Below are 13,194 nucleotides of genomic sequence, written 5' to 3'. Positions count from 1 at the left end.
CTGCAGCTTGGCCACTGTTCCCAGCTGAAAATGACATATTCAGAACAGCTCAGAACTTCCCCATCCTTCTACAGACCTCCCTTGGCACCAGCCACCTGGATAGAAGGAGGTGCTCAGAGGTTCCTGTTTTAGAGACTACCTTGCTTGCACAATTGCCATTTGAATGATGCCCAAATTTGAAAACCTGTAAGTGGCTCTGACCTGAGTACTTCCCAGAGTCATTTCTGGTTATTTCTCTTCTTCATCCTAGGCAGGAAAGAACAATTGAATTAAGTCAAGTTCTTTCCTTCTCCATGAAATGAGTGACAGACAAAGATTTGGCCAAGTTACCCAAGGATTTCTTGTTAATGGAGATGTTTGTGCTAGAGAAAATACAGGAAAGGGGGCCTAAAGTAGGGACTGCGCCACCACAGAGCTTTGCAATGACTTAACTCATTTTTCACAGAATTAATAATTCAGATCCTACAGTGTTTCAGCTAGAAGTGGCCATAAACTTCAGAGAGTTTAACCAACCACTTCTGAAAATGGGGATTGATCCTAGGAAATGCTACCTCCACTTTAAGCCATCTCGCCTGAGCAAAATGAAAGCTGTTAGATGATTTCATATCTTTATTAAAACCATCAAAGCAGAAACACACTGCAAAGAGGCTGCCAAGGCAGAGAACATTTCCCCATGCTTCAGCAGCTTTGGGAAAGTCGGAGAGATTCAGATTTTGACTATCTCGCAGGAAGGTGTTATCATGTTCAATTCTGCTTAAGGGAAGCCACACTCACAAGGCCCTTAATTTTGGCAGTGTCATCATGGCAGCCACCTCCCCATACATGCTGATGAGGCTGGAACAAGAATGAGCAGCAGGGTGGCTCCCATTGAGTGTCACTTGCCTTTTCTGGGTTGGAAGAGGGCTAATTTCACCTTTAACAGATCTCAAGAGGTTACCTAAGAACTCTGTATTTATAAAAAAGGCCTCAAAGATCTCTAGAAATGAGGAATCTGCCATCTCCCACCTATTTGGGAGTGAAGACTCCAAGCTACAGTAGAACGTAATGTTCTTTTCTTTGGTTAGTTTAGGGACGTCTATGATAGACAGGACCAGTCAAGCCAGGGGCAAGTATTGGGAAGTATATTTGGTTCAGACTCCAGCCTGTCACTTGTAAGGAAGAGCCTGAAAGATAGCAAGTCCTTAGTAGGAACTTGGGCTGGGCACGGTGGCTCAGGCCTGTAATCCTAGCACTTAGGGAAGCCAAGGCAGGAGGATTGCTTGAGAGGAATTGGAGACAAGACTGGGCAACATGGTGACACCCTGTCCCTAAAAAAAATACAAAAATTAGCCGGGCATGGTGCCTCATGCCCGTAGTTTCATATTAGGGAGGCTGAAGTGGGAGGATTGCTTGAGCCTGGAGGGTCAAGACTACTGTGAGTCATGATTGTGCCACTGCACTCCAGCATGGGCAACAGAGCAAGACCTTGTCTCAAAAAAAAAAAAAAAAAAAGAAAGAAAGAAAGAAATACTATCACATCATCAACCTCAGCAGCAACACTGCTACCATCATCAACCTCAGCAGCAACACTGCTACCATCATCATCACCAATGCCGTCTTTCTTGAGTCCTCTCTCTCACACCTTGCCCCATGCAGTCATCAGCAAATCCTGCCACTGTCCCTTCAAAGTGTATCCAGCATCTGTCCCCTCTCCTTTCTCTCTCCACCACCACTGCTGCAACCACTTTTGCAACAGCCCCCTAGCCAGTTTTCCTCCTTCCATCCTTACTGCCTTACATAACAGCCCAAGAAATCCTTGTAGAGTGTAAGTCAGATCATATAATGCCTTAACTCAACACTAGCCAATAGTCCTGCATTTGCTCAGAGTAGAAGGCAAAATTCTTGCAAAGGCCTACAGGGTCCTGCACCAGGCGGCCCCCGTTACCTCTCCAGGTTTATTTCCCATCCCTTGTGCACTTCTTGGGCACTCCACCCTGGACATACTGGCCCCTGGGTTTTCCTCAAACATGCCAGCCACCCTCTGTCCTCAGGGCCTTTGCACGTGTGCTGCTTCTGCTAGAACATTCTTCTCCCAGATCACAGCATGTTTTGCCTCCTCACCTCCTTCAGATCATCACTCAAATATTGCCTTCTCTGCTAGGCCTTCCCTAACCACCCTGCTTAAAACTGCAACACCCTCCCAGACCAAGTATTCTTTCTCCGCCTCCCTGTATTTTCTCCATGGCACTTACCACCATCTGACATAGATATGTTTGACTTACTTATTTATTGACTATCTCCTTCCTACCCTGTAGAAAAGTAAGCAGCATGAAGGCAGAAATTGTTGTCTGTTTTTTTCATTCCTCTCTCCCCAGTGACTATGTGGCTGACACACAGTAGGTGCTCAATAAATACCTATTGATGACTGAGTCACCTGCATCTACATTCCATATTCTTTCAGAACCAGGTGTGGCAAGCTTAGTAAAGGGGTGGACAAGTTTGTAGCCCCGAACAGACTCATCAATTCCTAATCATCCCTCATTGCTAAGAGTATTCACTCAACGCATATTTATTGAGCACCCATCTTGTGCCAGACACCTTTCTGAGCTTCAGGGATACAGTCATGAATATGATAGACAAGGTTCCTGGTCTCTAGGGGAGTTTTCAGGCTAGTGGGGAAAGAGTAAATAAAAGAGAAAATGAACACAATAATTTCAGATGTCAGTGAGAAGTAAGAAGTAAATAAAGCAAGGTGGTGAGGAAAGATAGAGAGTGGTGAGGAGGTGAGCCAGCCTAGACTAGGTGGCTGAGAATGGTCTCTTTGAGGAGGTGACATTGGAGCTGGGACATGCATGATGAGAAGTAGCCAGACCTGAGATGCTCTGGGGGAAGAATGATCCCTGTAGAGGAACAGCAGATGCAAACACCCCAAAACATAGGCACCAGCTCTCTTGAAAGCCTCTTTGGCCCACCCTGGGTGGGGGCCCCTCCTCTACAACCCCACAAATGCTGGGAGCTTTCTCTCTCTCTCAGTAAGTCTGACCGCTGAATTTCTCTGTACCTTCTTCTCTTTAAAAGAGAGATTAATTCTCTTTCTCATCTTCATTTCTCCAGGGCTTAGCACATTGCCTGGCACATAGCAGGTGGCCAATAAATTCATGTGGAACTAAAGTGATCTGAAACAACATTTTTTTTTCCTGAGATGGAGTTTTGCTCTTTTTGTCTAGGCTGGAGTGCAGCAGCATGATTTCGGCTCACTGCAACCTCTGCCTCCAAGGTTCAAGTGATTCTCCTTCCTCAGCCTCCCAAGTAGCTGGGAATACAGGCGCACGCCACCACGCCCAGCTAATTTTTGTATTTTTAGTAGAGATGGGGTTTCACCATGTTGGCCAGGCTGGTCTCGAACTCCTGACCTCAGGTTATCCGCCACCTTGGCCTCCCAAAGTGCTGGGATTACAGGTGTGAGCCCCCGCTCCCGGCAACCACTTTATTTTGTGATTCGACTGTAAACAGAGGTAAAATCATGAAGTGAATGTATTTAGAAACAGCATCCCTATAGGTTCCCCCTCCTTATTAGCCCCCAACCAAAAACATCTCTATCCAAGGAAATCCTCTCTGGCCATTGAGGTCCAAATAACATACCACCTCCTCCAGGAAGCTTTCCCAAATTCCCCTAAATGAATTTTCTCTCCTTTCCATGCTACTTACTATAGCTCTCCTTGTATCTCTAATATGGTACCTATTCTCATCTGACTTGTGTGCAAACTTTCCACGAACATCTAATAGCCTCACCAAACAGTGAAGAGCCCAGAGGCTCTGTGTTATATTCATCTCTGTGTCCTTAGCATGCTGCTGAATAAAGGTATGATGAAGAAATCAATGGCCAATAATGACAACTAACAGGCTTTTAATACCTCTCATGCGCCACAGATGTTTCGAGCACTTTTATGTGTAATTGTTCATTGAATCTTCACAGCAACCCTATGTGGCAGTCAATATGATTAGTCCCAGTGTGCAGATGGAGGAACTGAGACAGAGAAGCCTCTGGTTGGCACACACACTCACCTTGCATGTGGTGGAGCTGAGATTCCAACGTATTCCTTCTGATCTCAGAGTTCGAATTTTTCATAGCTATGCTGAAACTGCCTTCCATAGTAGTTTCTGCAACTTTATCTCCATTTTGAGTTCATGCTTGGAATCCGGGCTTCTCTCCCTCTCTCTCTCTCTCCAATAAGATCTGTCTTTGTATGCTTCCTAAAAAGCCCTTGTGCCACCGTGAGGCCTTGCTTCAATGCCCACTCATCTCTCCATCAGCCTCAGGGTTGATCTGGGGTTCCTTCACCCAGCAGCAAGCACTGAGGCTAGGGAGCACCCTGAGGTGGAAGAAAGCCATCTCCCTTTAATTGACCATCAGCCCTATTAAAGGCAAGCTTGGGAAGCCCTGTCATCATAGACACCCTCTGCATTGCCTCTGTTAACCAAGGGAAATTCCAGGGACCATTTTCTGCAGTGGGTCTTCTTTTACACAGTTAAAAGCACACAAAGAAGTTGCATTGTCTTCCGCTCTTGATCCAGTGAAATTAAACTGCCTGAGAAAGCAAAATTGACATCCTACCCAGCCCTGTGTATAAGCTTCATGGTTTGTTTGTTTGTTTGTTTGTTTGTTTGCTTGCTTTTTGGCGGAGTCTCGCCCTGTCACCCAGGCTGGAGTGCAGTGGCTCTATCTCGGCTCACTGCAAGCTCTGCCTCCCGGGTTCACGCCATTCTCTTGCCTCAGCCTCCTGAGTAGCTGGGACTACAGGTGCCTGCCACCACGCCCGGCTAATTTTTTGTATTCTTAGTAGAGACAGGGTTTCACTCTGTTAACCAGATGGTCTCGATCTCCTGACCTCGTGATCCACCTGCCTCAGCCTCCCAAAGTGCTGGGATTACAGGCATGAGCCACCACGCCCAGCCCATGTCATGTTTTTAAGCTTCACGTCATGTTTTCCAGAATGGAAGAAAAGGTATTTTGCATCCTGAGATTTTACAAAAGGGACGTCCTCTCTCACATGAGCCTCAAAATTAAAATAAAGAAAAGCCTTGTGCCACTGTCTCATAAATTGCTGATTCCCTAGTGAAAACAACTTTATCTCTGACTTTTGTGACACTGACGTCTACAGATACGTGACAATCTATGTAGATGTGGTAATTGTGGAGAATACTGCTGACTTTCCACCAGTAAGAATAATGAAGAAATCCATTGTAACCCTGTGAGTTGACATTGTCTTTTAAATGCTCACCACACCCTTTATTCAGGGAACCTGGTTCTTGGGAAGGCTACACTCCCTTGTAAATATTGCAGGTCAAACTCTCCTCTTAGTGCTCATATTTGTTCTGAGTTTTCTTTTGGCTCATCTCTCCCAATCGCTAACACATTAAAGAAACCTGAAAAGCTAGAAACAGTCTCACTCTATCACCCAGGCTGGAGTTCAGTGGTGCAATTATAGCTTATTGCAGCCTCGAACTCCTGGGCTCAAGTGAATCTCCCATGTCAGCCTCCCAAGTAGTTGGGACTACAGGTGCCTGCCACCATGCCTGGCTAATTTTTTTTTTTTTTTTTTTAGAGAAGAGGTCTCCCTATGTTGCCCAGGCTGGTCTCCAACTCCTGGGCTGAAGCGATTACCCAGCGTCGGCCTCCAAAAGTGCTGGCATTACCACCGCACCCAGCCCATCATTGGATTTACTTAAACTGAGTTTTCGGCAAACTCCAACAATATTTCCCATAACGTCAGTTGTGTGCCTCATCTTGGTAATTTTAGGTACTACACAGACTTACTAAATACCACCAAATCACACAGTGAGATGTATTATCTCTCCTTCTTTACCTTCATTCCTTCTGATTACATCAAGGAGAAACATCTCACATTGATATTGATATTTCTTTAACTGCTCTTAGTAGTGTCCCCTAGTATCCTCTTTTAAGCAAAGATGGAAATCACTGCAGGCTTAGAACATTCCAGTCACACTAGAGAGCAAAAATTCAATCACACTGTTTTGTTTTCAATCTAACTTATTTTTATGATCACTTTCTAATTATGGCAAGTGTTGCCGGTTTTCCATTTAGGGTGGCTTCAAAATAAAGTTGCTTTTAAACAATATTTATTTTAACTATACTTGCACAGTATGTGTTAGATTTGCAAATCCATAGCATATCTTTAGAAAGATACACAAAAACAGGTACCTATGGTTGCTTCTGGGAAGAGGAACTTCTTGGCTGAAAGACGAGGTAGAAAGGAAGGGATTAATTTTCTCTGAATACCCTTTGTCACTTTTGAATTTCACAATACAAATATCTTTTTTTCTTTCTTTCTTTTTTTTTTTTTTCTGAGACGGAGTCTTGCTCTGTTGCCCAGGCTGGAATGCAGTGGTGCTATCTTGACTCACTGCAACCCCTGCCTCCCAGGTTCAAGCAACTCTCCTTCCTCAGCCTCCCAAGTAGCTGGGACTACAGGCGCACGCCACCACGCCCAGCTAATTTTTTGTATTTTTAGTAGAGATGGGGTTTCACCATGTTGGCCAGGCTGGTCTCAAACTCCTGACCTCAGGTGATCCACCTGCCTTGGCCTCCCAAAGTGCTGGGATTACAGGCGTCAGCCACTGCACCCAGCTGAATATCTTGTCTATTCTAAAATATATAAACTGAAGGGGAAAACTTGTTCTTTGTGATAAATTATCATTTTTAAATGGGCTAACTTAAGCAAAAAAATTAAGAAGGTTGGATGAGATGGCTCACACCTGTAATCCCAGCACTCTAGGAGGTGGAGGCAGAAGGATTGCTTGAGCCCAGGAGTTTGAGACCAGCCTGGGCAACAAAACAAGACCCTGGCTCTAACAAAGGATTTTAAAAATTAACCAGGTGTGTTGGTGCACACCTGTAGTCCTAGCTACTTGGGAGGCTGAGGTGGGAGGATCACTTGAGCCTGGGAGGTTGAGACTGCAGTGAGCCTTGACTGTGCCACTGCATGAGTCTCAAAAAAAAATTAAGAAAATAATAGTAGAGGTCATGCTGGGCTTTGGCAAATGTCATGAAGGTGGCACAAAAATGTCTGAAATCTGAAAAAATTCTCCCTCCCAAATAACTATGCCACCATTTGGAAGGCAGTGTGAGAGGTCCTTTAGCCTCCACCTAGAGCAGACACTTCTGGCTTTCTCACTTGGGGAGTGTTCATGGTGGCTGGTGGCCATGGACACTGAGGTGGAGCCATTGTCAGCTCCTCTGATTTGAAAAGCTTAGGAAGACACCCAATGGACCCATGCCCAGGAAATCCACGTGATGCTCCGGCTCCAGATCACCCAAGCCCAAACCTCTGTCTCATATGCCCTGGAAAAACATACTTAATAATAACTTCCTCAGAAGCACAAGGTCATTTCCCCTCCCGGGTGGCTTTTACCCACCTCGTCAAGCTGCTTGTGAACCTCACAGTGCTTCAGCCCAGCCATGCAGCCCATTAGGAGAACAAAGTGGCAGCTGAACCGGCCTACAGCAGCCTGGCACCAAGCCTGGCCAATGGAAAGCATTTGACAAACGAATGGATTAACCTGCACCGGAGTTAGCTCCAGCAGAGACAGTGAGTCCCACAGGTTTAGGTTATCTGTGTGACTTATCAGTTCTGAGTCACTACCCCGCAAAGCCCCACTTCCCTATCACCTGCCCTGAGCCCTCACAGGTGGAGATGACCTCTCCTCAAGTCCTCCAGGGGATCTGATCAATAGGGAGCTGTGTGCTCCCCCACCCCGTCCCCATGCACCCTGTCACTCGATCATACAGGAATGATTCATAGAGGTCTAACCAAAGTTATTCTACAGCCCTGCATACCAGATACACAGAATATTACCAAAGCATTACCAAAGCATGCAGGTAATAGCACCTGTTGAGCATTGACTCTGCTTCAAATCCGCTAGGGCCCTTTGGATGTGTCTCCAGATATGTGCAAGGTACAGCAAGTGCCTCTGTACAGCAGGCCATGAAGGACATGCCCACCATCGCATCTTATCTCCTGTGAGTACCAGCCCCACACCTTCCCTAATTTCAGGATAGTTGCTTTCAGGGAGATGGCATGGGTAACATTCAAAAATATAAAATGAATCCAGCTCCCGGACCAATCAGAAGAGAGCCCTGCTGGCTACAGAGATGAAGCAGGGTCTAGTCACTGGCTCTTTGGAAGGTCCAGAGAGTCCAGGTTAGGCTGGGGAAGCCAGGTCTCCCAGGCAGAGGGCATTTCCGGAATCAGTATGGAAACATCCTATATCTTCAATCTAAGACACCATCAATCATAAGATACATGCTAATTTCAGAGATGTTAAAGACGCTTCTTAGAACCTTTCAGTGGTATTTTCACACGTTAACATCCAAAACAGGCTTAACAATGTGTGTAGCTGGAAAGTACTGGGGCTGTCAGCATCTTCTCCACCTAAAATGCTCCTGTAACAAGTGATAGGGTTTGGCTGTGTCCCCACCCAAATCTCATCTTGAATTGTAGCTCCCATAATTCCCACATGTTGTCAGAGGGACCAGGTGGGAGATAATTGAATCATGGCGGTTTCCCGCATACTGTTCTCGTGATGGTGAATAAGTCTCACGAAATCTGATGGCTTTTTACGGAGTTTCCCCTTTTGCTTGGCTCTCATTTCTCTCTTGCCTGCTGCCATGTAAAACATGCCTTTCTCCTTCTGTCATGATTGTGAGGCCTCCTCAGCCACATGGAACTGTGAGTCCATTAAACCTCTTTTTCTTTTTAAATTACCCAGTGTTGGGTATGTCTTTATCAGCAGTGTGAAAATGGATTAATAGACTAAGGCTTTGGGGAAAGCCTGTTCTTCATTCCCCTTCTCAGCTCCAAGGGGAAGGGAAACCAGCTCTTCAAAAAACTTCCTTGAGCAATGACAATTCTTGTTGCCCATTCCGAATGTTCCTCCATGCCTGACAAGAACTGTACATTTGCTGGCACTAAGTATTATATCTACAGCATGCTGCAAGGCTGACAGAGTGCTGCAAGACAAATGGGGGGGGGTTTATGGACTCAATGGTTTCATTTAATCATACTGTGTGACGTTCGCCTGGACCAAGACAGGGAATTTCTGTATAAAGGCCTAAGTCTGCATAGATGCTGCAATTGTGCATGCAGGTGCACATGTGTGGGTGTGCACACACATTCATCTATGTGCACACCCAATGAGCACAGATCAGTCTGTTTTGTGTGTTGATCAATTTGTTGAAAGATGATAAAACTGTCTGCATTAACTACGTCATGGCAGGAGGCCCCTTACCTTCTGCCTTTGATTTTATTTTTTTCTAAGGTTTGCATTTCCAGAATTGGGCTTTGCAATTAGAATATGATTTCTTGATGAAAATGAACTGGATAATGTGATAGATCTTATTCTGGGCTTTTTATTCTCTTTCGTACTTAGACTGTTGCCTCTGGGGCAAATATTCTGTCTTCTTTGCTTTGCACCATCCCAAGAACATCATCGATGCTGAACAAATAAATAACCAGAGTTGTGAAGTGAAGTCTGAAATTTATAGAACAGGCTCATCTATCAAAATTTGGACACCAGAACACAGAGTCAATTATCACATATTAACTTGCTCTTGTTGGCATTTCAATGCATTTAGAAAAGATACACTTCCTCCACACACACATTCCCCTGCCATACCGAAACACCAGCAAAATTGAGAACACTTCAGACATATCTCAGCTTTCCCTGTGACTCTAAAAACTACTACACACAGCAAAGCTTATATCTGTTTATAAAAGATGACCCTGAAGAGTCTATTTCACATCCAAACTTCCTTAGAATGGAGAGCATCCTAAAGATAACCTTAGATTTGGAAAAACATTTTCATGTAGATAGTCTTACTTGATTTTTATAAGGTTGCAAAGCAGTTCAGGCATCATTGCCATTTCACAGGTGAGCAGACTGACACCCAGATATGTGAACTGACTTTCTGTTAACATGGAAGGAGGGAAGGAAAGAGAAAAGGAAGGGAGGAAGGGAGGAAGGAAGGAGGGAAGGAAGGAAGGAGGGAAGGAAGGAAGGAAGGAAGGAATGAAGGAAGGAAGGAAGGAAGGAAGGAAGGGAGGGAGGGAGGAAGGGAGGGAGGGAGGGAAGGAAGGAAGGAGGGAAGGAAGGAAGGAAGGAATGAAGGAAGGAAGGAAGGAAGGGAGGGAGGGAGGGAGGGAGGAAGGAAGGAGGGAAGGAAGGAAGGAGGGAAGGAAGGAAGGAAGGAAGGAAGGAAGGAAGGGAGGGAGGGAGGGAGGGAAGGAAGGAAGGAGGGAAGGAAGGAAGGAAGGAATGAAGGAAGGAAGGAAGGAAGGGAGGGAGGGAGGGAGGGAGGAAGGAAGGAGGGAAGGAAGGAAGGAAGGAAGGAAGGAAGGAAGGGAGGGAGGGAGGGAAGGAAGGAAGGAGGGAAGGAAGGAATGAAGGAAGGAAGGAAGGAAGGGAAGGAGGGAGGGAGGGAAGGAAGGAAGGAGGGAAGGAAGGAAGGCAGGCAAGGAGGGAGGGAGGAAGGAAGGAAGGAAGGAAAAGGAGAAGGGAAAGGGGAGAGAGGGAAGGAGGAAGGGAAGGGAAGGAATAAAGAGGAAAGTATGGAACTATCTTTATAGCAATTGATTAATTCCTCAGCCCGATTTAGTAACAGCAGCAGCATCAGAAACTAATATTTTTAATACTAACAGAACTAATAGTGATAACAGGAGTGTTGTAGTAATTAGTAGCAATAACAGTAGTAACATTACTGCCTTGTCTTTATATATCATAGAATTTTCCAGGGCAATTTCATGTACAGTTTTGCATTTATTCTTCACAACACGTTTCTAGGATAGTTACTACAGGTCCCATTCCATGATGAGGAAGCTGAGACTTGGGAGAATCACCTTTCTTCAAATCATACAGCACCTAGGTGACCACCTCTGGTCTTCTGACTGTGGTTCCCTGTCCTGGTTCCCTCATCAGCCTGGTGTTGCTTTGCCCACCTGTCCAAGCAGCTAGGAGATACCACCCTGCAGCTCTTACCTCGGGGAGGAAATGTGGGTGGGGGAGAACCCAGGCCAGACACATAGTTGAGGTAAGCATCAGAGATGGCATGGCAGAAAGACAGCAAATTGGAGAGAACCCACTGCAGAAGGCTGGGCTCTCTGGTAGTGGCCTGAACGGGAGTGGTTCCCAAGAAGGATCAGGCTAAGGACAAGAAGGTGCAGACTCTGTCTCCTGGTCTCTCCAAATGATGGTGTCTTTCTGGCTATATCACTCGGCCTTCAGCTTTATCTCCATTTACCCACAGAAAGAAGCCCCTCCTTTGGGTTAAGGGTAAAGCTTTTGATTTTTCCACTATCTGGATTTCAGCCTCCTGATCAGGAAGTTATCACCAGGGGCTTTGATGTGGGCAGATCATACTAAGATCCACACTGCCTGCAACTCTGCACCTCCCCCTTTGGAAAGCACAGTCCACTCCAATGGGTGCAAGGGTTCTTTGGCTATGTCTGCCCAGTGGACCCTGGCTTTATGATGGCAAGCTGTGAACTGACAAGGCAGTGGACAGAGAGCGGAACATCCTGTCACCCACCGTACCTAGCTCATGGGATTCAGGAAGAAAGTAAGAACATGGGTTTTAAAAGATTCCAGAAATCCCCATGATTTCTGCAGTTAATGTGTATGACTTGGTCATAATAAAAAGAAATGTACAAAAATGTTCTTTACATACAGAAAGATGTTCTGGAGGTTATGGAAACAGCATCTAAGTGGGGTAGTATTACCCTGCACAGAAATGGCAATCCACAAGCTAAACACTTGACTCTAGGGGTGTGGATTTGTAACTGAAAGAAGCACAAACCACACAGCCTTTTCCTGACACTGGAGCCTCCCAGCCTTCCTGGTCAAGCAATGGGGAGAGGGCAATTACGACCAGACCTCTAGGATAGTCTTTTAGAAATATAAAGTGGGGAAAGGTGGTAGAGGGGGAGAGAAGAGAGAAGCAGAGCTGTCAGCATGCTTGATGTTAAATAAAACCTACCAAGACTCAGCTGAGAATTTTAGCAGAATCCAAATGTGCTAAAAAAAAATAAATAAATAAAAAATAAGACATGGCTTCCCTCTCTAAGGTTCACAGCTAAGCTTGCTTAGAATCACACATGCCAAGGTTAAAAATAAAAAGCAGCCATCCCTGAATGACATGGGCTCCAGGATGGAAGCCTGAGGTATGCTGTTTAGTGGTGGAAGGAAGAGAGGGGAGGGAGGAGAGTCTGGGTTCAGGGCATAGGTATTTATTGGAGGGCACACTATCTGAAAGCCAGATGCTCAGAATTTTGCTGTTTTGCACTTAAAAGGCACTTCGCATTGGCAAAAGGTGTCATAATGATCTTCAGATTTTCCATCGAGGAAATGCTGGCCTGCATTCGAATGTGGTCATGGCTGACCCACTCTGGGCTCTGCTGTTCAATGTGTTTGCCTCCTCCATCCCGGGATCTGACTCAGACAGTGTCCACATGCACCTAGACGGGATGCCCATGAGTCACAGCTTGGAAAGCACAGTGGGCTATTGGCATTGGCATGAAGCCAGATCTGCCACTCTGTGCCACCCTACCCTATTAACCAGACATAATGGTGCTGGGGCCACCCACAGGCTAGCTAGCCCCTGGTTGGCTGCAATGGGGACAGACTATGTGTCTGCCTGCTAAGGATGATGCATGACCCACTCGTCCCCACAACTACAACCATTGCGAGCCAGGAGTAACCTGCAAAGGTGCTAAATCAGGCCTGCGGTCCCCCTACTTTTGGTAAATCCAGGGCCCTCTATTATAAGCCCAGTGGGGTCCTCTTTCTAACAAAGTTGTCCCTTGTCCAATATGCATATGACCTCTACTGCCTAAAGCTGTAGATAAAAACAGCAGATTTAGCCTCAGCTACTCTGTCAGCTACCATGTTACCCCTCCCCAACGTCATTACTATGCAGATGTTTCTAGAAAGTCTTCAAAGGGTCAGGTGAATTGTGAGAATTCTGTGACCTATGTGTTAACAGGGAGCCGGGACATTACACCACCCACATGTGGGCCAGTCCTACACTTCAGCACCATACAGGGCTAGGGAGGCAGAAAGGCATTGAGGCGTGGACGCTGCCACCTCACAGAAGCTTTGGTCTGTGCCTTGACTCCCCCAGTGGGGATAATTCTCCTCCCT

At 45.9% G+C, this 13,194-nt stretch overlaps 1 protein-coding gene across 2 annotated transcripts in view; it reads right to left on the bottom strand.

The window, feature by feature from the left end:
• The window catches only part of HS3ST2 (heparan sulfate-glucosamine 3-sulfotransferase 2), a 102,177-nt gene that overhangs the window by 87,137 nt on the left and 1,846 nt on the right, over positions 1–13,194 (bottom strand). The window contains exon 2 of one of the 2 annotated variants that reach the window (XM_011546001.4): positions 10,749–12,509. The exons of the other annotated variant lie outside the window; for it this stretch is intronic. Coding sequence (XP_011544303.1) covers positions 12,380–12,509 — 130 coding nt within the window. The 3' untranslated portion in view covers positions 10,749–12,379. Of the gene's footprint in view, positions 1–10,748; positions 12,510–13,194 lie in introns of those variants that run through there. 2 annotated transcript variants of the gene reach the window in all.

Source organism: Homo sapiens, chromosome 16 (genome assembly GCF_000001405.40).
Source record: "Homo sapiens chromosome 16, GRCh38.p14 Primary Assembly".
Classification (NCBI taxonomy): domain Eukaryota; kingdom Metazoa; phylum Chordata; class Mammalia; order Primates; family Hominidae; genus Homo; species Homo sapiens.
This window is presented reverse-complemented; position numbering and strand designations above follow the sequence as displayed.